We start from the raw sequence: 26,950 nt of genomic DNA, 5'->3' as shown, positions 1-26,950 counted from the left end.
TTTCTTTCACAAAGACAGAAAGAAAAACTAGAAGTAAAAAGAAGTTCTTCAGAAGCTACCGTTTGTAAGAAATGATCATTGAAAATACTCAATGAATGGCAAAGAAAACATCCTTTTGTACTAATCCTTGCTTAACATATTTATATCTCAAAGAGGTACTTTGGGGCAGGTTATTTTATAGTTCTACTAATTACTAATTTGTAGGTCTTAACTATCTCATTTTATTGAATTGTCTTCTTAAAAATGTTTATGAATTGACAAATAAGATATTATTTCACAAAGTTTCACCAAAAATCAAATATTCAAAGAAAAAAAAGGACAGTTGAGTGGCCTCTGCAAAGGTTTTATTTTTGTTTGTTTTGTTTTGTTTAAGACATGGTAATCTGAAAAGTTCTTAATATAAACTTGATCCCATGAAAAGGAGATAGGCTGCCTTATTTATGTCATATATTCTGGAAAATCATTTGAGATCAGGAGGACTTATTCATTATTAAAGAACTTTATTCTCGGCCTCCTCTCTAGCCCTTTACTTCTTCAACACTGCTTGGTTTCTATTGGGAAGCAAACTTTCCCCTTTCATTCAGTTGACAGCATTTTGGAGTTCTGATCCTGTCTAGGAATATGGCCCTTAATCAGCCATACTAGAATAATCTAGAGTATTTAATAATTTTTAATCTTCTTTGAAATGCCTAGATCAACTACTTTAGACTTTATTGGAAATGGATTTGGGAATCTCTAATTTTAGCATTTCCAGTGATTTTACTTATATTAATGTTACAAAACCACTAGCCTAGAGGAAGATTGAAGCTACCTTTCTTGTGCTCATTACAAATTTTGCAAGAATGGCTCATTAACCTTCTTCCTAAAGCCAGCTTTAATAACAGCAAAATCGTTTAATTAATACAAAATATGGCATAGATGGAAGACTGTGCTTTCACCCCTTTTTAACTTGGATGTAATTAATATTTAATTCTTTTTGGTTGAAATGCTTAGTGAAAATTAGTCATTTGCAAGAATGTAGCATAAGAAAATTAGTGACTATCATAATTGTCAGAATTCCTAGGTTTTAATATTGTCTCAAGCACTAATTAGCTTTTTTACCATGGGCAACTCACTCAAATTTTCTCTTATTTAAAAACTCATTTTGATTATAGAATTTATACATAAATATGCTATTCTCATAAAAAGCAAAATTCAAATATTTCGTAGGATCCTTCAACAATCACTGTCAATATCAGTCCTATCCCAGAAATAACCACAGTAATTAATTTGGTTTATATCTATCCAAATATATGTGGATAGGTAGGTAAATATAATAACAGCCATAAATATAAATGTAGATACAAATGCATAACATTGTAAAATATACTTTATAGAGAGCATGCTAGTGCACATTTTGTCTATAACTTGATTTTTCTGTTTAATAATAATATATCTTCTAAATTTTTCTATATTAGTCCATTGAAAGCACATTATTCTTAACTACTGCATCATATATTATAACATGAATAACATAAAATGGATTCATCCATATCTATACTGATAGCATTTAGGGACCTTCTTTCTTTATATTTTTGTTTTGTTTCATTTTTCCTTTTTATTATTATTTTATTTTTTGAGACATAGTCTCGCTCTGTCGCCCAGGCTGGGGTGCAGTGGCGCGATCTCAGCTCACTGCAACCTCTACCTCCCAGGTTCAAGCGACTCTCCTGCCTCAGCCTCCCGAGTAGCTGGGATTACAGGTGTGTGCCATTACACCCAGCTAATTTTTGTGTTTTTGGTAGAAATGGGGTTTCACCATGTTGGCCAGGATTGTCTTGATCTCTTGACCTCGTGATCCGCCTACCTCGGCCTCCCAAAGTGCTGGGATTACAGGCGTGAGGCACTGCACCCGGCCTTTATTGTTATTATTAATCCAACTAATATATATTATTCTTGTGTAAACATTATTTTTGACATATGTAAATGCTCCTCCAAAGTATATATCACAATCTAGAATTACTGGTTAAAACCATATATGTATCAGATTTGAATAAAAACAGTCAAATTTTCTTCGGAAGGTATTTTACCTAATGAAGGTCCTGGAATCTTAACTGCACGATTGCATCACTCAAGCTTGTTCTTAACTGGATCTGCAGCAAAAATTATTCCAAAATGATCAAACAAGCCACAATCTTACTCAGAAATTTCACTGGTAGATCCTGAACTTTTTGTGGAATTAATTTCCAACTCACTAATGTGCATATGTCATACTTAGTTAAGTAGTATAGCTACTATTTCACACTTTCTGTATTCAGTATTAAGCACTATGTCATTGATGCATTGACCGATATCATGAACTCTTGAAATTGGAAAATATTTATGTTCTCTCTGTATTAAATTATGGGAGAGATTTCACATGTGTCCAAGGCATCAAATTAAAGTTATAAACTATCTTTGCCAGATGAAAACATGATTATTTAAGAACTTTTTTGTACAACTATATATGTATAGGGTTAAAATATCATTTTTCAGTTCACTAGCTGTATTCCAGTTGCTATAAATTGTATAGGCTGACTACAATAAAGAGACCATATTAGGAAGAATAGCAAGTTATTCTTATTTTATTCATTCCTCTATTTTCTATTATTTGTGTTGGCTGAATTAGAGAATTAAACATAAATATAATAGGATTCACTTCTTAGCATTATTCAAAATTTTGAGTGTGGAAGAAAGAACCAGATTTGCAGTCGTTCAATAATCAATGTAACTTTGGGTTCTACAGAAAGTGCCTTACAGTAAGGTCAGTCTGGTGCAGGTATTTCTATTGAGATTAACTCACTTCTGTCATTGCTTCTGTTCTTGCAAACCTCACTTAAGATTCAGAGTCCCTTAAAAATGTGGTGGGGTTTTGGTTGTTGTTGTTAAGCTTAAGTCATGTAATTAACCATTGGCAGAATTGACAAGGTAAGAGCAAGGATCTTTCCCATTTTCTAACATAATTGGTGGTACATAACCGTATGCATCATCCCCAAAGGAAAAACAACATGTTATCAAATAAAGGAATGGAAGCTGGTGGCCATGAAGCAAACAATGTCACCTACCAATGTCACTTTGTCATGATATTTTCTTGGCTCAAATATTTGTGAAATCTTAAATGTATGTCCATTTATATAATTTAAAGCCCATAAAATTTTACCAAGCATATCTGTGTTTTGAAGACTACTAAGGAAATTTAAGACTTATTTTCTGATTTATTTTTGCAGAGAATGTGAAGAAATGGAATGGGCTCCAATCATTTAAAGGATGAAAAAACTTTTTGAAATACTATTTCACATCAAACTTTGATTTATAGCTACTAAATATTTAACCTTTTTCATATAAAAATTACAGTATGTACTGTTATCTCAGAGGCCAAAGTGATAACATTTGTTAACCCCAAATCCAGCAGAAAAACAACTTTTTGCTTCATTAGAGCACTGTCCCACTTGTTTCCATGGGTGGCAAGAAGGTCTTTTGTTTGTTTGTTTGTCTGTTTGTTTTTTTGAGAGGAGACTCGCTCTGTGGCCAGGCTGGCGTGCAGTGGCGTGATGTCGCTGCAACCTCAGCCTCCTGCCTTCAAGCAGTTCTCCTGCCTCAGCCTCCCGAGTAGCTGGGACTACAGCTGTGCGCCACCACGCCCCGCTAATTTTTGTATTTTTAGTAGAGACAGGGTTTCACCTTGTTGGCCAGGATGGTCTCCATCTTTTGACCTCGTGATCCACCCACCTTGGCCTCCCAAAGTGCTGGGAGTACAGGCATGAGCCACCGCGCCCGGCCCAAGAATATCATATTTTTAGGTGCATAATGGTGATCCTTTGCATGTTTACTGGCTTATATTCTATTCCTTTTGCACATCTGCATTTTTATGCCAAATTAAATAAGGTATGTTTATATATTTCTGGGGAATAAAATTCTTTGTCAGCATTCAGTTTTCTGCATTCCCTTGTGAGTTCAAACACTGGAAGTTATTTCATTAGAATTTACTGAAAATGTTTTTGAGACCAGTTAAAAATTGCTGTATAAAATTAATGATATTGAAGACCCTTACACCATGTATTTTTATAGTAATAAAGATTTCCCTAAGTAATTCGACATATGAGTGTGACTGTAAGAAAAACTTCCCCCTTATTTTTATCTAAAGATATATGTTGCAGCTATAAATAAAAGTAATGCTTTATCTGTAAATAGTTCATAGTTAAATTATGAAATTTAGGTAAGCAAAATGAAGAAAAACCTGCAATCCCAATTCATATTCCAAGTTATTAATATCCTGTAGAGGATGGATGTCAATAATAATGAATATATTTTATAAATACCATTATTCCAGTATGATCTCACTAGAGCTAGTCATACCAAAAATATCATCCTTCAAGAACAGCTGCTTTTAAGCCTTGGATGCATACATTCTGAAACCAAAAGGCTCTAAGATTATTTTGAGTCTTACACTGTTTAATAATGTGTTAAAAGCCCTCACATATGTTTCTTTTTTATACAGCAGTATTCTAAAGAATGTGAGACAATAAATAACCTTTGTGTAAGATTTAACAATTTATGTTTTGATGTTAAGAACATACAGAAACATAAATCATAGAGCTATATTAATATATAAATCATAATATCTCATTGTATAAAATTATTTAACCCATCCTTCACTATGGAAATTTTAAGGTTTTAACAATTTTACTCTTATAGACATTGTTTATGAACATTCTTGTATAGACACATTCACAAACTTGTATACATATTTTTGTAGAAATATTTTACCATAGTAGATTTGCTTTGTCAAAGAGAATTCAGTTCTCCATTTGAGGTCCTTCTAGAAACATTGTAACATTTCCCCCAATCACGGAAAAAAAGTCATTCCTCCAAACCCATTCTCAGATAGTGGTATTATTAGTTCTCTGCATGAACTCTCATCACCAGACAGTCAGATGCACTTACTCCCCAGCTGCTAAGAATGTTAGCTACTAGAGGACTATAGCTACTAACTTTTCTGGAAAATTGATGAGGCCAAGCAGAAACTACCTGATCAAAAAATTTTGATTGGTAACTTTCTGGAGCCATTAGGCCAATGATTGACTGAACTGAAGGGGTGGTAGGAAAGTTTAGTTATCTCATTTTAAGCTGAGGCTAGCTCCTTAGTGCAGTTTATATAGCAGAGAGTCTCATGAGACCAGATTGAAGCTATTTTCCAGCCAAAGCAGCTTATCTTCAGCTTTCTTCCCTTGTACTGCCTTGCTTCTCTTAATCCTCTTTTTATAGGAGAATTTTACCAACAAATTATCTCCTCCCAGAACTCATATCTCAAACTCTGATAGCAAATGAAGACCCCCATCATTGGTGGGAGGTAGAGTATTGATAGTCTTCAGGAAATTGTAGCAGTGAGACTTCTAAGATTTCTAACTGTGGTAAATGTAGATGGGAAGCAAGTGAATGTGATTTACAACCTGGTACATTGCTGTTAGAATTTGAAAGATAAAGGGAAATATCAAACAAAAACACTAAGGATTTGGGTGGTTTATTGCTAGGAAACAATGATGCATGAAGCAATCTGTTAATTATTCAAGTGTCAGAGCCAGAGAACTCTTGGACAATATTTAAGAAGGCATTCATCTTCTGCAACTAGAAGGCACACAGAGTTGAAGACCTAAGTGTAAGCAGGGTGGCCGTAACTTCAAATAAGGTTCAATTCTCAGAGAGGGAAAGAATCCCAAGCCAAAGTCGAGATTTTGGGAAGAAACAGGTAGGAGATGTGGTTAGATGTCTTTCAACACTTCAAATAGGAATGATTTTGCATTTCTTCACTCCTACTAATCTACTTGGGAAACTGGAGTTCTCTGTTCTCATAGCTTTAGGCTCTGTAATTATAATGCCTCTGGGTACAAAAAAGAGAAGCTTTCTTTGGAGGGCATAGAATCCCAATACATTTGAAGCTATTACTGCTACCTGGCCACTTTGCCCACCTTATGGCAATAGTTTATCAGGCACAGAAAGAAATTATACCAACAGAAGCGTGTGTTGCTTACAAGATCAACTTCTTAGAAAGCAGAAGTATTTATTACAAATATAGAATGGGGTTGGAGGAGGCCACAGGCTGTTTATCTGGTAAACATTACTAAGCTGAACTCTCAGATGACAGCTGCATCAACTGATAGCCATATGAATAAACCATCTTGAATTACCAGGCTTGTTCTGCCTTCAGTGATTGAAGCACAGAAAACATTTTACTATAACTGCATGAGCACGTCCAAGTAAAAAAGTCCAGCCACACCCTTAAAAAATTCCTGACCTGTATCACATGCAAAGGGAACCACATCAGACTAACAGTGAACTTTCCAGGAGAAATCTTACAAGCCAGGAGAGATTAGGGGCCTACTTCTAACATTTGTAAAGAAAAAAAAAATTCAACCCAGAATATTATATCCTTCCCAAAAAATGCACTAAAAATGCACTAAAAGAATGCATTACCTCTAAACCCACCTGATAAGAAATCCTTAAGGGAGTTCTAAACATGGGGAAAAAATATGTGCTACCACAAAAACACGCTTAAAAACAGAGACCGCGGACCCTATAAAGTAAAAACACAATTGAAGCTGCAAAGCACACAGCTAGTATTTGCACAATAGGATCAAAACTTCACATATCAATATTAACCTTGAATGTAAATAGTCTACATGCCCCCAGTAAAAAGGAACAGAGTAGCAAATTGAATTTAAAAAAAAGGCCATCAGTCTGCTGTCTTTGAGAGACCCATCTCACATGTAATGATACCCATAAGCTCAAAGTAAAGGGCTCTAGAAAGATCTACTATGCAAATAGAAAACACAAGAGACCAGGGGTCACTATATTTATATCAGATAAAACAGACTTTAAACCAACATTAGTAAAAAAGGACAAAGAAGGGCATTACATAATGACAAAGTGTTCAATTTAGCATGAATTAATGATCCTAAATATATATGCATATAAATATATAAATGTGTACATATATATCCATAAATATATATGCATTCAACATTAGAGCACCTACGTTAACAAAACAAGCACTTCTAAACCTATGAAAAGACTTATACAGCCACACTATAATAGGGGGGATCTTTAACACCCCAATGACGGCATTAGATCATTAAAGCAAAAAAAAACAAAGATTCTGGAATTAAAATTGACCAATTAGACAATTCGATCTAATACACATCTACAAAAACTTCACTCATTTTTACATGGAGCATACTTCAAGATTGACAATATTCTCAGCCATGAAGAAATTCTCAATAGATTCAAAAAAAGTTTCAGAATCATAACAACCACATTCTTGGACCACAGCAGAATAAAAATGAAAAACAATAAGAAGATCTCTCAAAACCACATAAGTTCATGGAAATTAAGCAACTTGCTGCTGAATGATGTCTGGGTATGCAATGAAATCAAGGCAGAAATGAAAAAATTCTTTGAAATAAATGAAAATAGACACACAACATACCAAAATACCTGGCATGCAGCAAAAGCAGTGTTAAGAAGAAATTTCGTAGAGCTAAATGCCTACCTGTAAATGTCAGAAAAATTTCAAATTAGTGATCTAGCATCTCACCTAGAGGAAACAGAAAAACAAGAGCAAACTAACCCAAAAACTAGCAGAAGAAAGGAAATAACTGAAATTAGAGCAGAACTGAATGAAATTGAGACTCCAAAATCCATGCAGTTTAAAAAAATAGTTGGCTTCTGAAAATCTAAACAAGATTCATAAGGCTGCTAGCTAATTAAAGAGAGATTCAAATAAGTCCAATCAGAAGCAACAAAGGTGACATCACAACAAACCCATCAGAAATACAAAAGATCCTCAGAGACTATTATGAATATCTCTACATAAACAAACTAAAAAATTTAGAAGTAATGGATAAGTTCCTGGAAACCCAAAATCTCTCACGATTGAATGAGGAAGATAATGAAACACCGAACAGACCAATAACAAGTTCTGAAACAGAATTAGTAATAGAAAAGCTACCAATGAAAATAAACCCCAGACCAGATAGATTCATAGCTGAATTCTACCACACAGACCATGAATAGCTGGTACCAAATCAACTAAAATTATTTCAAAAAATCATGGAGTAGGGACTCCTCTCTAACTCATTCTACAAAGGCAGAAGTACCTATATATGAAAACTTGGCAAAGAAAGAGGAAAAAAAACCTAAAAAACTGCAGGTTGTTGCTCCTAATGAATACTGATGTAAAAGTTCTCAACAAAATATTAGCAAACTAAATTCAACAACACATCAAAAAGTTAATTCACCATGATTAAGTAGGCTTCATTCCTCGGATTCAAGGTTGATTCACCACATAAACAGAAATAAAAACAACCATAGAATCATCACAATTGATATGGAAAAAGCTTTTTATAAAATCCAACATCCCTTTATAATAAAAACTCTCAAGGGACTAGGCATTGAAGAAACAGACCTCAAAATAATAAGAGCTATTTATGATAAATCCACATAAAACATCATACCGGATGGGCAAAAGCTGGAAGCATTATTCTAGAGAACCAGAACAAGACAAGAATATCCACTGTCACCACTTCCATTCAAAACAAGACTGAAATTCCAAGCCAGAGCAATCAAGCAAGAGAAAAAAAAGTCACCCAAAGAGCAAAAGAAGAAGTCAGATTATCTCTGTTTGCTGATGATATAATTATCTACCTCAAAAACCTTAAGGACTCCACCAAAAGACTCTTAGACTTGAGAAATTACATTCATACAGTCAGGATATATAATCAATGTACAAAAATTAGTGACATTTCTATACACCAATAACGTTATAGCTGAGAGCGAAATCGAGAACACAATCCCATTTGTAGTAGCCACAAAAAATTGAACTACCTAAGAAAATCTCTAACCAAGGAGGTGGAAGATCTCTGTAAGAACTATTATACGAAACATTGCTGAAATAAATCATAGATGATACAAACAAGTAAAAAGTTCCATGCTTATGGATTGGAAGAACCAATATTTTTTTAATGGCCATACTGCCTAAAACAATCTACAGATTAAATGTTATTCCTATCAAACTATCATGTCATTTTTCACAGAATTAGAAACAAAACTTATAAAATTTATATGAAACCATAAAAGAGCTGGAATAGCCAAAGAAATCCTAGGCAAAAAGAACAAGGCTGGAGGCATCACAATACCTGACTTCAAACTATACGGTGAGGCTACAGTAACCAAAACAACATGGTACTAGTACAAACACAGACACATAGAACAATGGAACAGAATGAAGAACCCAGAAGTAAAGCCACACACCTACAGCCATCTAATATTCGACACAGTCAACAAAAACAGGCAATGTGGAAAGACTCCCTATTCAGTATATAGTGCAAGATAGCTGTCTATCTGTATGCGGAAAAATGAAACAGGACTCCTGTGTTTTATCATATCTAAAAATTAACTCAAGATGGATTAAAGACTTAAATGTAAGACCTCAGACTATAAGAATCATAGAAGAAAACCTTGAAAACATCATTCTGGACACTGGCTTTGGCAAATAATTTATGACTAAGGCCTCAAAGGCAATTGCAACACAAACAAAAATTAACAAGTGGGACCTGATTAAACTGAAGAGTTTCTGAACAGCAAAAGAAATTATCAAGAGATTAAGTAGACAACCTACATAATGAGGTTGCACTCAACAAAGATCTAATATCTAGTATCTATAAAGAATGTAAACAATTGAATAAGCAAAAGACAAATAACCCCATTAAAATGGGCAAAAGTCATGAACAGAAGTAATCTAAGTGGCCAACAGGCATATGAAAAAATTCTCATAATCAATAATTATCAAAGACATGCAAATGAAAACAACAATAAGGTACCATCTCACACCAATTAAAATGACTATTATTAAGAAGAAGAAAACAACAGATATTGGTATGGCTGAGGAGAAAATTAAATGTTTGTACACTGTTGGTGGGAATTTAAATTAGTTTAACCACTATGGAAAGAAGTTTGGATATTTCTCAAAACAAAATTTCCATTTGCCCCAGCAATCTCATTACTGGATAAATATTCAAAAGAAAACAAATTGTTGTACCAAAAACACACATGCACTTGCTTGTTCATCACAACCCTATTCACAGTAACAAAGTAACGGAATCAACCTAGGTGTCCATCAGTAATGGACAGAATAAAGAAAATGTGGTACATACGTACCATGGAATACTATACAGCCACAAAAAAATAACAAAATCGTGTTCTTTGTAACAATGGATGCATCTGGAGATAATTCCTTCAAGTGAAATAACACAGGCACAGAAAACCAAATACCGCATGTTCTCACGTATAAGTTGGAATCCAACATTGGGTAGTCATGGACATAAAGATTATAAAAAGAGACACTAGAATAAAGGGGAATGGGTTGAAAACTAACTATTGGATACTATGCTCAGTACCTGGGTAACAGGATCATTTATACCCCAAACCTCAGCAACACGTAATATAACCAGGTAACAAACCTGTACATGTACCTGGAAACACAAATCCAAAATAAAAGTTAAAAAAGGAAGAAAAAGAAATAAATAATTTTTAAACAGAAAAATAAATAAAAAATAAAAATCAAACACACACACACCAACCATATTTTCCATTGGGTAAAAATAAACTCAACTTAGTAGAAAAAAAAAACCTCCCTGTCTTTCAAGGTAATATCTTTATAATATATAAAAATGCTCTTTGTAAAAATATAACCATTCCGGAATTAAAAAAAGTAATCCACATTGTTGTAGACAAAGTAATATGGTCGGTTTGTACTACTCTGTTTTAGAGTAACCTATTATGTAAAATTAAAAATTAGAATAGCAAATACATATCTACTAGGTGGTATGGAAACATAAAAGTCTCAGAAATTTTCACTGCTTAAAACTTTATCACTTTAAATTTATAAATGGGAAATTACGGTGAAATTAACACACACATACAAATGAGAAAGTAGCATCCAACATTCTTATAAGCTAGTAGTTCTCAATAATATTTGTAAAAAACATTTGAAACGTTTGTTAAAATTAGAGGTTCCCAAATTAAATCCCAACAAAGTCTGAGATAGTTTAACTAGGATGCTCCTAGAAGCCTACAAGATTATCAAACCCACTAGGTGATTCTAACATGGCTGGGACAAAAATCCCTCTAGACCATAGTTGGTCTCAGGCTCCAACTGATTTTTTTATATGTGCTGTAATCTGGATGTTTATGCCCCTCCAAAATTCATATGTTGAAACCTAATCATCAGTGTAAAGGTATTAGGGAATAAGACACTTGAGAAGTAATTAGGTCATAATGGCAGAGCCCTCTTGAATGAGATTAGTGACTTTAGAGGTACTAGGCTGTTCTTTTCTAACTACTCAGTAAAATACAAACCTTTAATGACCAATGCTGAAATAGGTGTTCCTAAAAGCCATGTCTGTAAAGATCTTATATGTGATAATGGATAGGCTATCTGGTAAAAGTTGGCCATATAACTTGAATGTGAAGATTCACAAAGAATCCTCTGTAAATGTGCATTGTGAAGAATCCTACACTATTTATTCATATACTGCAGAAAATTAAGAAATAGAAGACTCTAAATTTTCTTTACCCCAAAATTCCACACTAATAAAACTGATTTTTGTGCAATTTTTCTTCATGATTTGAAATGAAATTTTCTAATGACACATTATTTTGTTTGTCAGGTCTTCATCATTTTTTATTATTTGCTTTCTTGCTTAACTTTTGAACTTTGGGGACTTTTAGAAATTATCATCATACTCAGCATGAAGAAAGTGCATAGAAAAGAAAGAAAATCTTAAATTAGCTAACATTGCTGTGTTTTTGAAGATGAGGTACATTTTACAATTTTCTACATATGGTGGAATATGCATCTGTGCCTTCTCTCTTCTTAACCAAGAGTTACATCAATTACACACAAAATTACATTGAAATAAAAATGCAGCAAAAATTAATCAGAGAGAGAAGCTGAACTGTGTCAGAGATGGATGTAACTTCCTTCAAATTATATTGATAAAATACCTAAACTTGAGTCCACTGAAATCATGCAGGCCGAGTCATTAGGAAGGTTGCTTCCTCTGTGTTGTACCTCACATTAATAGACTGCCAACCACAGCTTCCATGAAATACCTGAGACTGGGTAATTAATAAAGAAAAGAGGTTTAATTGACTCACAGTTCTGCATGGCTGGGGAGGCCTCAGGAAACAATCATGGTGGAAGGCACCTCTTCACAGGGTAGCAGGAGAGATAATGAATGCTGAGGGAAGGGGGAAGCCCCTTATAAAACCATCAGATCTCATGAGAACTCGCTATCATGAGAACAGCATGGGGAAAACTGCCCCCATGATCCAATTGCTTCCCACTGGGTCCCTCCCATGACATCTGGGGATTATGGGAACTAAAATTCAAAATGATATTTGGGTGGGGACACAGCCAATCCATATCAACTACTATACTCACCAATCTCACTAAAACATAAAATAGGGCATGAGTATCTGAATTAAGTGCCCTTGGGTTTCTGCGTTTAATTTTCTCTTCAAGTGTGTTGAACCAAACCACAACCTATATGGAGCTTTGAAATATTGTTATCATTTAAAAAATAATTTAATATATAAATATTTTATATGCAAATTAGAGAAATCTATATGTGATTGAAAATGTTATATGATTATGACATGTCTTTCAATTTACTAATATGGTGAAAAATTAAAACTGAGAATATTTAGTGCTTTTTATATTTTTAACCTTTATGGGTACATAGTAGGTATATATATATTTATGGGGTGCATGAGATATTTTGATACAGGCATACAATGCAATATGTAATAATCACATCAAGATAAATGGGGTATCCATCACCTCAAGCATTCATTATTTCTCGGTGTTACACACATTCCAATTGTACTCCTTCAGTTATTCTATAATGTACAACAAAGTATTGCTGACTGTAGTCACTCTCTTCTGCTAACAAATACTAGCACTTATGCATTTTGTCTAATTATTTTTGTACCGACTGTATCAGGCTGTTCTTGCATTGCTGTAAAGAAATACCTGAGACTGGGTAATTTACAAAGAAAAGAGGTTTAGTTGGCTCAGGTTTCTGCAGGCTTTATAGGAAACTCAACTTTTGGTGAAGCCTCAGGGAGCTTTCAATTATGGCAGAAGATGAAGGAGGAACAGGAATGTCATAGAGCAAAAGCAGGAGCAAACAAGAAAGAGACTTTGGGGAAAGTTTCACACAGCATTAAATGACTAGATCTCATGTGAACTCAGAGAAAAAGCTCACTTATCACAAAGGGGATGGCTGAAACCATTGATGAGAAATTTCCCCCATGATCCAAACACCTCCCACCAATCCCCACCTCCAACATTGGGGATTCAATTTCAACATAAAATTTGGACGGGAACAAATATCCAAACTATATCACCACTAAACATCCCTGTTTCCACACATCCTCACTACCCTTCTCAGCCACTGATAACCATCATTCTACTCTTTATCTATATGAGTTAGTTTTAATTTTTAGCTTCCACACGTGAGTGAGAACATTTGAAGTTTGTCTTTCCGTGCCTAGACTATATCACTTTACACAATGTCCTCCAATTCCATCTGTGTTGTTGCAAATGACAGGATCTCATCCTTTTTAGGGCTGGATAATATCCCATCATGTATATGTACCACATTTTCTTTATCCATTTATTTGTTGATGGACACTTAGATGGATTTCAAATCTTGGCTATTGTGAGTAGTGTTGCAATAAACATGGAAACGCACATATGTCTTCTTATACTGATTAGGTTTCTTTAAGTTATATACCTAGCAGTGGGATTGCTGGATCATATGACAGTTTTATTTGTAGTTTTTTGAGGAACCTCCATACTGACTACATAGTAGCTGGACTACTTTATATTCCTACCAACAGCATATGAGGGTTCTGTTTCTGTGCATCCTAACCAGCATTCATTATTACGTGTCTTTTGGATGAAAGCTCTTTTAATTGGGGTGAGATAATATCTCCTTGTAGTTTTAATTTGCATTTCTCTGAAGATCAGTGATATTGAGCACCATTTCATATCTGTTTTCCATTTGTATGGCCTTTGGAAAATGTCTATTCATATTTTTCAACCATTTTTTATGAGATTATTAGATTTTTTTGATTGAATTGAGTTCCTTATATATTCTAGTTATTAATCCCTTGTCAAATAGACAGTTTGCAAACATTTTCTCCCATGCTGTGAATTGTTTCTTCATTTTTATGATTGTTTCCTTTGCTGAGCAGAAGGTTTTTAACTTGATGTGATTATATTTGTCCTTTTTTTTCGTGGGTTGCCTGTGCTTTTTGGGCATTACTCAAGAAATCTTTCTCCAGACAAATATCCTGGAGAGTTTCCTCAATGTTTTCTTTTAATAGTCTCATATTTTCAGGTCTGAGATTTAAGTCTAATTCATTTTGATTTGACTTTCATACACGGCAGGAGGTAGATATCTAGTTTTATTCTTCTGCATACAGATATCCAGTTTTTCCAGCACCATTTATTGAAGAGAGTGTCTTTTCTCCAATGTATGCTCCTTGTACTTTTGTTGAAAATGAATTCACTGTAGATGTATAAATTTATTTCTAGGTTCTATATTCTGTTACATTAGTCTATGTGTCTCTTTTTATGTCAGCACCATGCTGTTTTGGTTACTATAGCTCTGTAGTATTATTTAAAGTCAGATAATGTGATTCCTCCAGTTTTTTTTTTTTCCTCAAATGGCTGTGGCTATACTGAGTCTTTTGTGATTACATTTAAATTTTAGGATTTTTTCTATGTCTGTGAAAAATATTGTTGGTATTTTGTATGGATTGCACTGAATCTGTAGATCCCTCTTTTACGGACATTTTAAGAATTATATCAGTTCCTCCAATCCATGAACGTGGACTATTTTTCCATTTTTTGTGTCTTCCTCAATATTTTAAATAAATGTTGCATAGTTTTTATTGTAGAGATCTTTTACTTCTTTGGTTAAGTTTATTTATAGTTATTTTATTTTACTTTATTTTATGTAGCTATTATAAATGGGATTACTTTCTTGATTTATTTTTCAGATTGCTTGCTCTTGGTGTATAGAAATGTTACTGATTTTTGTATATTGATTTTGTATTATGGAACTTTATTGAATTTGTTTATTAGTCCTAATTTTTTTTGGTAGGGTCCTTAGGTTTTTCTAAATATAAGATTATATTATTTGCAACCAGGGTAATTTGACTTCTTTCTTTCCAATTTCAAGCCTTTTATTTCTTTCTCTTGTCTAATTGCTCTAGCTGGGATTTCCAGGATGATGTTGAGTAACAGTAATGAAAGTGGGAATCTTTATCTTGTTCCAGATCTTGGAGAAAAGTGTTTGTTTTTTTCCCCCATTCAGTATAATATTAGCTATGGGTTGGTAATATATGACTTTTTTTTTTTGAGATATGTTCCTTTTATTCCCAATTTTTGAGGGTTTTCATGATGAAGGGATGTTGAATTGTATCATATATATTTTTCAGCATCAATTAGATGATCATATTCGTTTTTTCCTTCATTCTGTTGATATGATGCATCACATTGATTGATTGGTGTATGTTGTACCATCCCTTGCATCTTTGGGATGAATTACAATAGGTCATAATAAAGGATCTCTTTAATGTGTTTTGGAATTTGATTTGTTTGCATCGTGTTGGGAATTTTTCCATCAGTGTTCACTAAGGATTATTGGCATTTCATTTTATTTTTTGATGTATCTTTGTCTGTTTTTTTGTATCAGAGTAATGCTGATCTCATAGAATGAGTTTGAATGTATTTGTCTACCTTTATTTTTATGAATAGTTTGAGTAGGATTGGTATTAGTTCTTTTTTAAATGTTTGGTAGAATTCAGCAATGAAGCCATCAGGTCCTGGGCTTTGCTTTATTGGGAGACTTTTTATTATGGTTTTCATCTCACTACTTGCTATTGATATCTTCAGGTTTTTGAATTTCTTCCTGATTCAATCTTGCTAGGTTATATATGTCTAGGAGTTTATTTTCTTTAGGTTTTCCAATTTATTTGCATATAGTTAGATATTAAACAGTTAGACATTTTTTTTCTAATCTTTTCAGTCTGGGCTTGTTTGTACATCTTCTTCTGGAGAAGGCTTTCCAAGTATTCCAAGGAAATTGAGTGTTGTGATCCAAGTCTTTGGTCACTGCAGTTGTATGTGCAATAGTGGACATCCCAAGCCCAGTAATGCTAGGATTCCTGCAAACTCATAGAAGTTTCATTTTAGTGGTATTGGGTGCATATTGTGACAATTTCATGGATTACCAGGTAATGTCTCTTGTTCTCTTCCCTTACTTTCCCTCAAACAAACAGAGCCTCTCTCTCTATGCTGAGCTGCCTGGAGTTGGGGGAAAGGCAATGCATGCACTCCCATTACCACCACCACTGGGACTATGCTAGGTCACACCTGAAGTCAGCACAGTACTGGGTCTCACCCAAGTCTTCTGTTGGCTATTTCCTGGCTATAATTGATGTTTATTCAATGTCCAACTGCTCTTTAATCAGGTTATAAAACCAGTCAAGACTGGGCTTTTTTCTTCAGGTCAGCAGGTTCCCTTTTGGCACTGGGTGGATTGAGAAATGCTGTCCAGCAGCTGGGACAGGGACTGAGGGCATTAGGTGCCTGCTTGGTGCTTTATTTAACTGTGGCTCAGCTGGTACCCAAGTTTCAAGACAAAGTCCTCTTTTCATTTCCTTCTCTTTTTCTTAAGCACAAGGAGTCTCTCCCTGTGGCCATCAAGGCTGGGAATGCACTGGGTCATGCCTGAAGCCAGCATACTACTGGGCCTAGAACTATGGCTTTCGTAGTGATGCCCAGAGAGTCTGTTAGGACACCTAGAAATGTAAAAGAGTTGTTGTCTTGTTGTGTAGTCTTTGATAAGGTACAGCAGTCAAGAAGGAGCCATTATATCCATGGTTTTGCCCTTCATGCCTGAAAACTGTCCCAAGATGGATTTGTGTCCTTTGGGTCTCTAGGGACATCCCTCTAGGACACAGCCCCCAGATGTATTTGTTGGAAACCTATGACCTGTTATTTAACTCTCTTATATATGCTCTATCTCCAGGCCTCACTTTTCTTTTGCTTTGGTGGTCCTCAGAATTGCACTTTCAATAAAGTATTAGCTCACAAGATTTTGCCCCAGTCTCTGCTTCCTAGGAACCCTGTGTAAGACATTCCTCTACTGGAAAATGCTCTTACTCTTTCATCTCCCAACTGAGAAGCACAACTTTATGGAGTTGTATTCTACCCGCTGATTTCAGTAAAAGTAATAATTTGGTAATGCAATTATGCGACCTTAACAATGAGAATATTCCTTTTACAACTTCACAATAACCAGGAAGTAAGAGTCAAAAGTTATTACAATTAATGTATTTTTACTCAGGTCAAATATACAATATTGATTATATAAAATAGCGGTGTACTAGACATTTCTGTAGGACTACATGACTTTGTGTGAACTGAAAAAATGTACAAATATATAAATGTAGATAACTATGTTATATTAAGTAATCATTGAACAATTAAACATTAAATTTTGGGGTATTAGCTATAATTGTTGTAAGGATTAATGTAAAATAGAGATTATGTAGCTCACTAGAAGTGACTTAAAAAGGGATGACATGGTACAAATCTTTGTAAATTAAGAGTCGTAAAGCAACCAGAATTAGAATAGTTGAATCCTACTGCCTCTAATAAGAGGCATGGCAAAGGAAGAATGGATGAAAATTGATAGAGAACAATTGCTTACTTGCCAAAATCATTTACATATGTAAAGTAACTGTGATTATTTAATTAAAATATTGAAATTTTACATTTTAATTCAGTATTACAGATAAGCTAGTGTTCAGACCATTGTTTAATGTGATGTACAATTCCTTAACGATTCTGAAACACTTCAAATAGATTTATACTTAGCTCTGACATCAATTACAATAATACCCTTAGATTATTGCTTTTTATTCAAACATCCGATTAATTTTAAGAAATAAAAATATCTGACTATATTTTTTCATTAATAACAATTATACTACCAGTATGTGAGTCACTATTACATGTATTCATTCAAACTAAAAATACCAAATCTTAATTTCTTAATTTCATAATACTCACATAAGATACTACTATTATTAAATGAAGAAACCATGGATTAAAAAACTTAACTACTCTCCATATAAAAGACCAACATTAGCTTCTATTTTTAGATTTATTTAATTGCAAAGCCCAAGCATTTTATCAGCATTCTATACAAACCAGAGGTCCAAATTATTTCAAACTATAAAATTCATAAACGTGATAGAGATGAATGTCCTTAAATAAAATATGTAAGTGTTTAAGTTATAGCAATAGTATAAATGAGTTGCAGTTAAATCACAAAAAATATGAAAAGTTGCTCAAATTCACTAATAGATACCATTTTTAAGAAACAAACAAGGTACACACACTATTCACACATAAACAGACGTTTGTGTATGGATAAAGGTGAAAATATATGCTCATATGTATACATGATTATAAGAGCGTGAAGAGATTTGGACAGATGCTCACTAAGTTATACTACAGTTTTGAACACCACACTTTCCAGCTCTTTTAGTTAGCAACTTGAGCTTCTTTAGTTTTCCTCCTACTAACTCTGAATTCTTTGGTCCTTGTGTGTATTCGTTCTCTATCTTCATTCACTCTATAAGTGACCTAATTAATTACTACAACTTTAAATACTACCTTTAATACAATGATGGTTAAATATATTTATTTTCATTATTTTTCTTTTAGAGTACTCAAAAGCTGATTTATTGAGATCCTGATGAGTTTGAAGTAACTAGAAACTTGATCAAGTAAGTGTAACAATAATAGTAATAGTCAAAATAAAACAACAATCATAGTTACTTTTATATTAACAGTATTATGTAGACCATATAGGGACTATTCAAGAGAAATCTTTGTGCTAACAGATATACAGAGATATCTAGATAGCTTAATATTGTGAAACTTGAAGATTTCTCAATGACATAAAAACCTGTAGTTTTTCCAAGAAACACCATTCCCCAAAAATTTAATTTGTAAAATTTGAATCCTGTCTTTCTACTAATTTAGCATATTTTTGAAAATTTTCCTTATTTTTTTTGGTTTCTCTGATTTATTAGCCTTACTGCAATTATAAAGGAACCCTGGAATTTTGCTTTAAGCAAATGTCATTTATTTATCTATGAGAAAATGAGTGAAATGAATGAAAAACTATGTTAAAGATAAGGGGAAACCAAGTGTTTTGTTTTAAAAGTCAAATGTGGAATGACTAAAGTATACAAGTTTTAATATAAAATAGAAATTTAATATGTGCTCCTTCAACGTGATCTGTGTAAGATTTTTTGCCATAAAATTCTGTCTACTTAGAGAAAAAAATAAATATTTATTCTGAAATAAAATAAGATATGCAAATACTCCTTGCAAAATTGAAGTGAAAATTATTAAGTATTTTAATTTTTTAATATTGTTTTTTGAGACACAGTCTTGCTCTGAGGCACAGGCTGGAGTACAGTGCCACAATCATAGCCCACTGCATCTCATCCTCCTGGGTGCAAGTAATTCTCCCCGACACTCAGCTAATTTTTTATTTTTATTTTTTTCTGGGAACAGGGTCTCACTATGTTGCCCAAGCTGATTTTGAACTCTTGGGCTTGGACAGTTCTCCCATCTTGGCCTCCTTAAGTGCTGGGCTTATAGGCATGAGCCACAGAGTCAAATCTGTTAGAGTATTTTAAAATGTAAAAATAATTTCCTTTTCTTTTTCTTGTGATTGATACTTATCAAACTACTAAATGTTACTTTTCACAGAGAAAAGTTATGACCATATACTATCAGATTTCTAAAACCACTTTTAATAAATACTTCCATTTAGATTTTCTTAGAAATTTTTTCTTAAATAACAATTGAATAGAATAATTCCTTTCTGTAATATCGCCAACATTACATTGCACCCTAGGAGCAAATCATGAATGCTAATAGATGACTACTGAAAACTACTAGTATTATTGGTGGGGTTCCTTAATTTTTCTGGGCCAGTTGTGTTCCCCCCCAAGAAAAAAAACAGGTTCCCCCCAATATAGCAAGACATCATCTTCACTTCATATTGTTATAGTGAAGATTAAATTAATTAATACCTGTGAAGCATTTAGGACAGTGTCTGAAAAATTACTCCTTTAGGTCACTTATTACCTCAAATATGACTTGTCTCACAGTTCTCTGCCCCTTCGTGGCTGCCCCTCTTTCTAACAGCACTTTCTAAGACAGTCTTACTTCCAAGTCACTATCTATTATTTTCTTGTAATTTCTAGTAACATTTACTAATACTCTGAACTATCAACTTGCCTGGACTCTTAAGATGCATTTCTACCAGGTCTCCAGGATCCTATTCTTGTTCTAGAACAAATATCGCTGAGAGCTTGAGAATGAGAAGAGAGAAGTAACCATTATATTTGAAAACATAAAAGTGTTTGATATTCTGGCAAAAATTGTTACAGTGTAATTGACCACACCCAAAAAAATTAAGTAGCTTAATAGTGAAATATATTTATATTTTATCAAATAAGCAGTATGAATTTAAATTGTATTCTGAGAATGAAAGGGAATATGGAAAGAAGGAAAGCTGAAGTGTTAATTGCCTCCTCTCTTTTAGGTCTGGTGGAGTTTGTTGTCTCTTGACGCAAAGTCACAAGTCTCTAGTGGCTCTTTCCGTATGTGTACCACTCACATTATGATAAGCATTTCTACTCTACTCTTTGTTCCTTCAGACTCAAGAGTGAGAAGTGCTACAGCTCTCACTAATCCTGGCACATGGCACTGTCCTTTGTTGGTTTTCTTAAACTCAAACTCTTGCAAATTGTTGATTTTGAATGTGCCCTTTTTTCTTCCAGGACCCTGACTAATATAAGATGATTTTTTAAAACTGGAATCTCAGTGGATTCGTCTCAACACGGCCAGATGGATGATTCTTCCAGGGACTAATGAACTTGTTAGAATTTCGGATAACATTTGGTTGTCAAAAAAAAAAAAAGAGCATAAAAAGTAATAGACCATAACTGAGATGGGTGGGGCTTATTCTAGATAAGATAGTCAAGGACTGACATATGGGAAGAAGGCTACCTTCTGTGAAGGCATCAGCCATTGAGGATGCTACTTCTGTAGCATCTGGAGCAAAATATTCCAGGCAAAGGGAATAAGAAGTGACTCTAAAATAATCAATAATATGGAAATTGTACAGCAGAAGTTGAAAGATTAGAGAGGCAGAAGTTCAGTGAGAAAAAAAAAAAGTAGAATAGATAAGGTCAAAGGCTTAAGCCATAGCATATCAGACAGGCTAATGTTGACCATTAAAGAAAGTTCCAAATTCTAAGAGTAATAGGAGGCTATTAGATGTATTTAATTAAGAAAGGATGTGCACTGATGAGCATCTTAAACAGATAGCTTGCTGCTATTTAGAGAACAGATTGCAAGAGGGAAAGACCAGCAGTACAAATATTGGCTAGTCTGCTACTTCTATAGTACAAGTGAAGGATGATGATAAAAAGAGGACATTCGTGGTGGAGTAGGGGTTTTTTAATTTTATTTTGATGATGGAGCTACAAGAGTTTCTGATGATAATATATGTGTGGTTAGAAAATAAAGTCTTAATCAACTGGGCACATGATGATCCCATTTCCAGAAATAGGAAAGATTGGGGGAAAATAGATTGGATGGGAGGAAAAAAAATCAGAAGTTATATTTCAGTTATGTTAATTTTTATGTTAATTTGGTTATGATAAGTTTTACTAAATCAGACAAGAATAGAAGGAATCAATGATGTGTCTTTGCTACATCTGAAAGAACTGATTGGCATAGAAACTAGAAGAGATTCCAGAAGAAATCTATTTAGGGAATCTTAAATGGACTAAAGTTAAGACTAAAAAAAATTCTGTATTTCAGTTGACGGAAACTGTGCATCCCTCCAGCAATTCTGGAAACCACACGGAGCACGTTGCCTACTGTACATAATTCTGGTTTAAGGGGGCCAGAGAGGTGGGAGTGGTGTGGAGCAGGTAGTGTAAGAATCACTGCAGCTTCCTATTAATAATAAAAATGTGCAAGACAATAAACACGGCTGCTATACCAAAGAAAAGCAGATTTCTACTCAGAAGAAAATTCTCTGAGTGACTGCCTCTATCTGTACCTCTTTCCTGTAACCCTATAGCCTTCCAACTTACTGAACTACAATATAAAACTGTAGGAAACAATCAGCTTTACTATAAAGCTATAGTAAAGTTTTGTTCAGTTTTTTTTCTGAATTCATAGAAGGCTATTGATTCAGAATCCATAGCCACGCCTGTCACATCATTTTGCCTGTTTTCATTTAGAATCCTTTCCCTACAAATTTCAAAAGTGTCCTTAGTGTTTTAAATACTGTTCTTTGCACCTTATGTTTCAAGTATTAAGCACTTTTCTCACCTGCATTTCCGAGCTGAATTCACCAGCTGGACGCCATTCCAGTCCACTTATAACCCAGGCTTAGAATACCCTCATATTCAGGGAAAGGGCAGTTGTCATATAACCTGTGACTCTCACCTTCGATGATTTTGTGATCTGTGCTACTGCCTGTAGCCTAGTATGCATTATAACTAAGCTGCTAAGCTATATTCTGTTGTTTTTTACTCCTACCAATGAAGTTGACTATGTATTTCCAGTAAAGAAAAAGTTCATTTTAAAATCCACACACTAGCCGACTGGGTGCGGTGGCTCACGCCTGTAATCCCAGTACTTTGGGAGGCCAAGGCGGGCGGATCACGAGGTCAAGAGATCGAGACCATCCTGGCTAACACGGTGAAACCCCGTCTCTACTAAAAATACAAAAAAAAAAAAAAAAATTAGCTGGGCATGGTGGCGGACACCTGTAGTCCCAGCTACTCTGGAGGCTGAGGCAGGAGAATGGCGTGAACCCGGGAGGCAGAGCTTGCAGTGAGCCGAGATCATGCCACTGCATTCCAGCCTGGGCGACAGAGCGAGACTCCGTCTCAAAAAATAAAATGAAATAAAATCCACACACTAAACATCTCTGTTCTCTGTGGAAAGACACAATTTCAGCATCAATTAAAATATAACTTTATGTAGGTAAGGTATTTGATCTTAGTGATGTGTTTCTCTTAATTTCAGACAGTGACAAGACCCAAGATTTGTTTTACTCTAAAGTGAGAAATTATCCTCAACAAAAAAACATTTCACAGTGAGAATCAGAAGAATATTTGCATCAGGCAACTCTGGGTGCTAGATATTTATTTTTTTTCTTTTTCACATGAACTATAAAAACTTACCACAAAAGACTGATCTCCACAACTGCTTATACTCTAGGTATGTGAACATAAGCATAAACCCAAAGGTCATTATCCAGTCACAGTTTGGTATTTTATCAACATCATGGCAAATGATGTTGTTCATAAGAACCTGAATCTTATGCTTCCATTTTCCAGGATTATTATACATTGCACTGTTCTTGCTGATACTCCAAAGACATGTAGAAAATAGAAAGGTAAGTTTGCAGGAGGAAAAAAGAACAATGGAATGAAGAAGCAAACAGGGAGTTAAAATAACTCCTTGGAATAGTAGAATCAGGAAAGCAAAGGTAAAGCATTAAAGTCTAAGGGCTGCATGACTCCTAAGGGGAAAATGCATGTATTTCTTTTATTTTGCACTGAGATTAAATTTGCTGATTTTTTTTCATACTGTGTGTTCTTTCGCTCCCAATCCTCACATAAAATATTTCAGGGTGACCAACTGCTCTTTTGTGTTACATTTTAAACAGGTAGATGACTTTCACATGTAGGCAAAGTTGATTCTAGGAATTATTGTGAGGTAAGAGAAATGTGTTTGAGACAAGGTGTGGTCTCTTCTTCTTAAGTTTTCCTCTCTGCATGTTTTTATTTCATCCTAACCCAGAGTCCTTAAATTCTCCAGCATCAATCTTAATGCACAATTTACTTAACACTTTTGAGTAGAGACACATGGGGAGCCCATAAACTTAAATATAAAATGTGAAATCAGATATGTGATTTCTGTGTAAATGTGTCTCTTGCATCTGCTGTGGGTCTATATTTTACTGGACACTCCAGATGCTATATCTTTGGATCCACAACTGCATGCCCACTAAGATCATACTTTCCCCAGATTTCCCCAAGTCAGTGACTCAGTATAATGTGAATACACAGTGGATTCATTACTGGGAGATATGAGAGTTTTCCAACAGGAGACCGTAGCTCAAGTACTCCTTTTCTGGAAACCAAACCTCTGTTGGAATCATGCTACATCAGAGAATTTTCCTCCTAATCCATTTTTTCATCCCTATCTCCTTCTATGTGTATCAGCCCAGCATTATGATATAAAGAATCTACTGTTCTTTTCTTGCTTCTCCCTACAATAAATGTCTTGAATGTCTAATTCTTTCTTGCTGTCTGCCACTCGGTGGTCCTAAACAAATGCAAATGATACCAATATATTTAAGAAAAAAGATGGAAAAATGAAGAAATGGGTGTTATTCATTGGCAGAAAAAGTAGACATTATCTTTAATGGTAGGAGGATCACCAATAGAGGATGACACAAGATGGCATCTTAACTGCCAAGGGTTTATCTTGCAGATACTTGGGGGAATGGTGGAAGTCCTCACCTCTTCAGGTGCAATGATTTAGGCATTTTGCATATCTGAGGGCTGACGAGTCATAACAGGATAGCCATACTGGCTGTTTGCTGCTAATTTGAATGAACTCATTGAAGAGGGTAGGACAATCTGATAGTGTTGCAGACCTTCAAATACATTTTTATGCTCAGGTAAACAAGATCTGTTATGGAAAAGTCAGGCCTTAGTTATGAAAACCTTACCATGACACATAATCTGGGGACATCCGTATGTAACTCCTGAGGATATTGGCTTTGCAAATTTGCTTGAAACCTCAGAGCTTGAAGACGTACCCCATCAGTCCCTATTAGGCCCTAACAGTACATTGTACAGAAGAGGGCTTTTTATCACTAGGAAATAATTGCTTTCCTCAGAAGCTGCACCAAACAAAATTAGAATTAATTCCAGTATACCCTGGCTAGGAGCATGCTGAGGCTGATAAAGGAAGAAATAAATTATAAACAAAAGGAGAAGTTGGAATTAGATATCATGTGCTGGCAAGGGCCAAGGAAGTTATTCTCAGATTGGATTTTTAGAGTGTTTAATCAGGGGACCAGAATGTCAAACTTGATAAGTAAGAAGTAATAAGTGACCAGGGGACAATTTATCAAAGCAGAAACTCCAAAGATTGAGACAAACTTACAACCAGGTGAGTCTTAGAAGCTGAGTGCAGTAGTACTGTCCAAGGTGCTCTGGCAGACAAGGAAGAAAAATAGAAACCCAAAGAAGTGGTCGTGTAAAAAATGTTTATAATGCAAGGCAAAAAAAACAAAAACAAAAACGCCAGATGAATATATGTTTACGGGATAGGCTCTAAGGACACACCCTTTACTAGGACTATCAGGAATACACTTAGAAGCAGGATATCGACATCCTTAAGAAGTTCAGCAGTGACTGCTCGCTGCAGGTTCAGTTTGAAAAGAAGAGAAACAGTGATAAAATGAGGCTCACTAAAAGCCATTGAGATTAATGGACCCTAAACTAATAGAGGCCAGGTGGCAACATATAATGTCTAAAACATGAGAGGTCAAAACTATTGTAATAACCAGTACAACTGGAGGAAATTGATGAGACATTACTCCTGCGAAGTTGTAGAGACGGTCGATTTAGCATCCCTGGACAAAGTAGATTGCAGTCAACAAGAGTGCTACTGAGCATATACAATCAAATAAGGATGAGAATTAAGGAGCAGGAAACTGAGGGCTGTTATCCCAATAAAAAGCCCCAATCATTTGTAGAGCTTGTAGACCTTGACCTCACCATTTTTAGATCTGGATCCCAGTGACTAAAAAGGAGGTTGTATCTCTGGAAGGAAGAACCCTGTAACACCATGACAAGTACATACAGAAAATGGCTTTATCCACCTGCTTCAGGGATTGAATGCCGAAAACAAAATACCCAGACATTTCGAGAACTATGTATATAGGGTAAGAGTTGATACTGATATCCTGAGTCTCACGATATCACCATGCCTCCTGTTAAAATGGAAACTAGAGGGGGAAAACTAAAATAAATTCCTATCTGAGGTGTTTCATGTGAAATCACGGGTATTTTAGAACTACCTATGGCTTTGAAGTATGTATTTGACTATACTGAGAAATTGAAGTAATCTGAACATTGACTCAGGGTTGAGTTGTCATAGTAGGGAAGGTTAAATAGAAACCTCTGAAATGTCCAGGATAAAAACTGTTGGCAACCTACCTCAAGCTTAACCACGTAGTAGCCACAATTTCAGCTGTTGTGTCAGATACTTTTTGTTATGCAGTAATTGATTTAGGGAGTACTTTCTTTTCCATTCTAATCATAAAAGAAGATCAGAGACAGTTTATGTAGGAATGGACAAGAATATTCATTTTCAGCTCTGCCTCAGTCATATTAACTCCAATGGTAACTGTTGTAATGCGAGTGATAGACACAAATGCACGCATGTAGTATGAACACTCCAATATTACTGAATTGTGACACTGTACCAGTAATATTCTCTTTACAAATTTGACTTAATGGTATAAGTTGCAACAGGCTATGATGGTAACATGAAGAAAATAATGTGATATATTCAATTTTGTAGACATTATAAATGATCTATTTATAGCACTGGTGATATGTATGTTGCCAACATGCTGACAGTAGCTCATTATTT

General features: G+C 34.7%; 1 long non-coding RNA gene across 2 annotated transcripts in view; it reads left to right on the top strand.

Annotated features, from left to right (window-relative positions):
• The window catches only part of LINC02484 (long intergenic non-protein coding RNA 2484), a 148,337-nt gene extending 124,996 nt beyond the window's left edge, over window positions 1-23,341 (top strand). Inside the window, exons 3-4 of one of the 2 annotated variants that reach the window (NR_147183.1) lie at window positions 18,890-18,951; window positions 23,297-23,341. This is a non-coding gene — a long non-coding RNA (long intergenic non-protein coding RNA 2484). Of the gene's footprint in view, window positions 1-18,889; window positions 18,952-21,027; window positions 21,247-23,296 lie in introns of those variants that run through there. The other variant, NR_147184.1, reaches the window with a different exon arrangement.
• The last annotated feature ends 3,609 nt before the right edge of the window (window positions 23,342-26,950 follow it).

This window comes from Homo sapiens, chromosome 4 (assembly GCF_000001405.40).
Source record: "Homo sapiens chromosome 4, GRCh38.p14 Primary Assembly".
Lineage (NCBI taxonomy): Eukaryota > Metazoa > Chordata > Mammalia > Primates > Hominidae > Homo > Homo sapiens.
The sequence above is the reverse complement of the archived record's forward strand: the minus strand, read 5'-3'. Positions and strand labels throughout refer to the sequence as shown.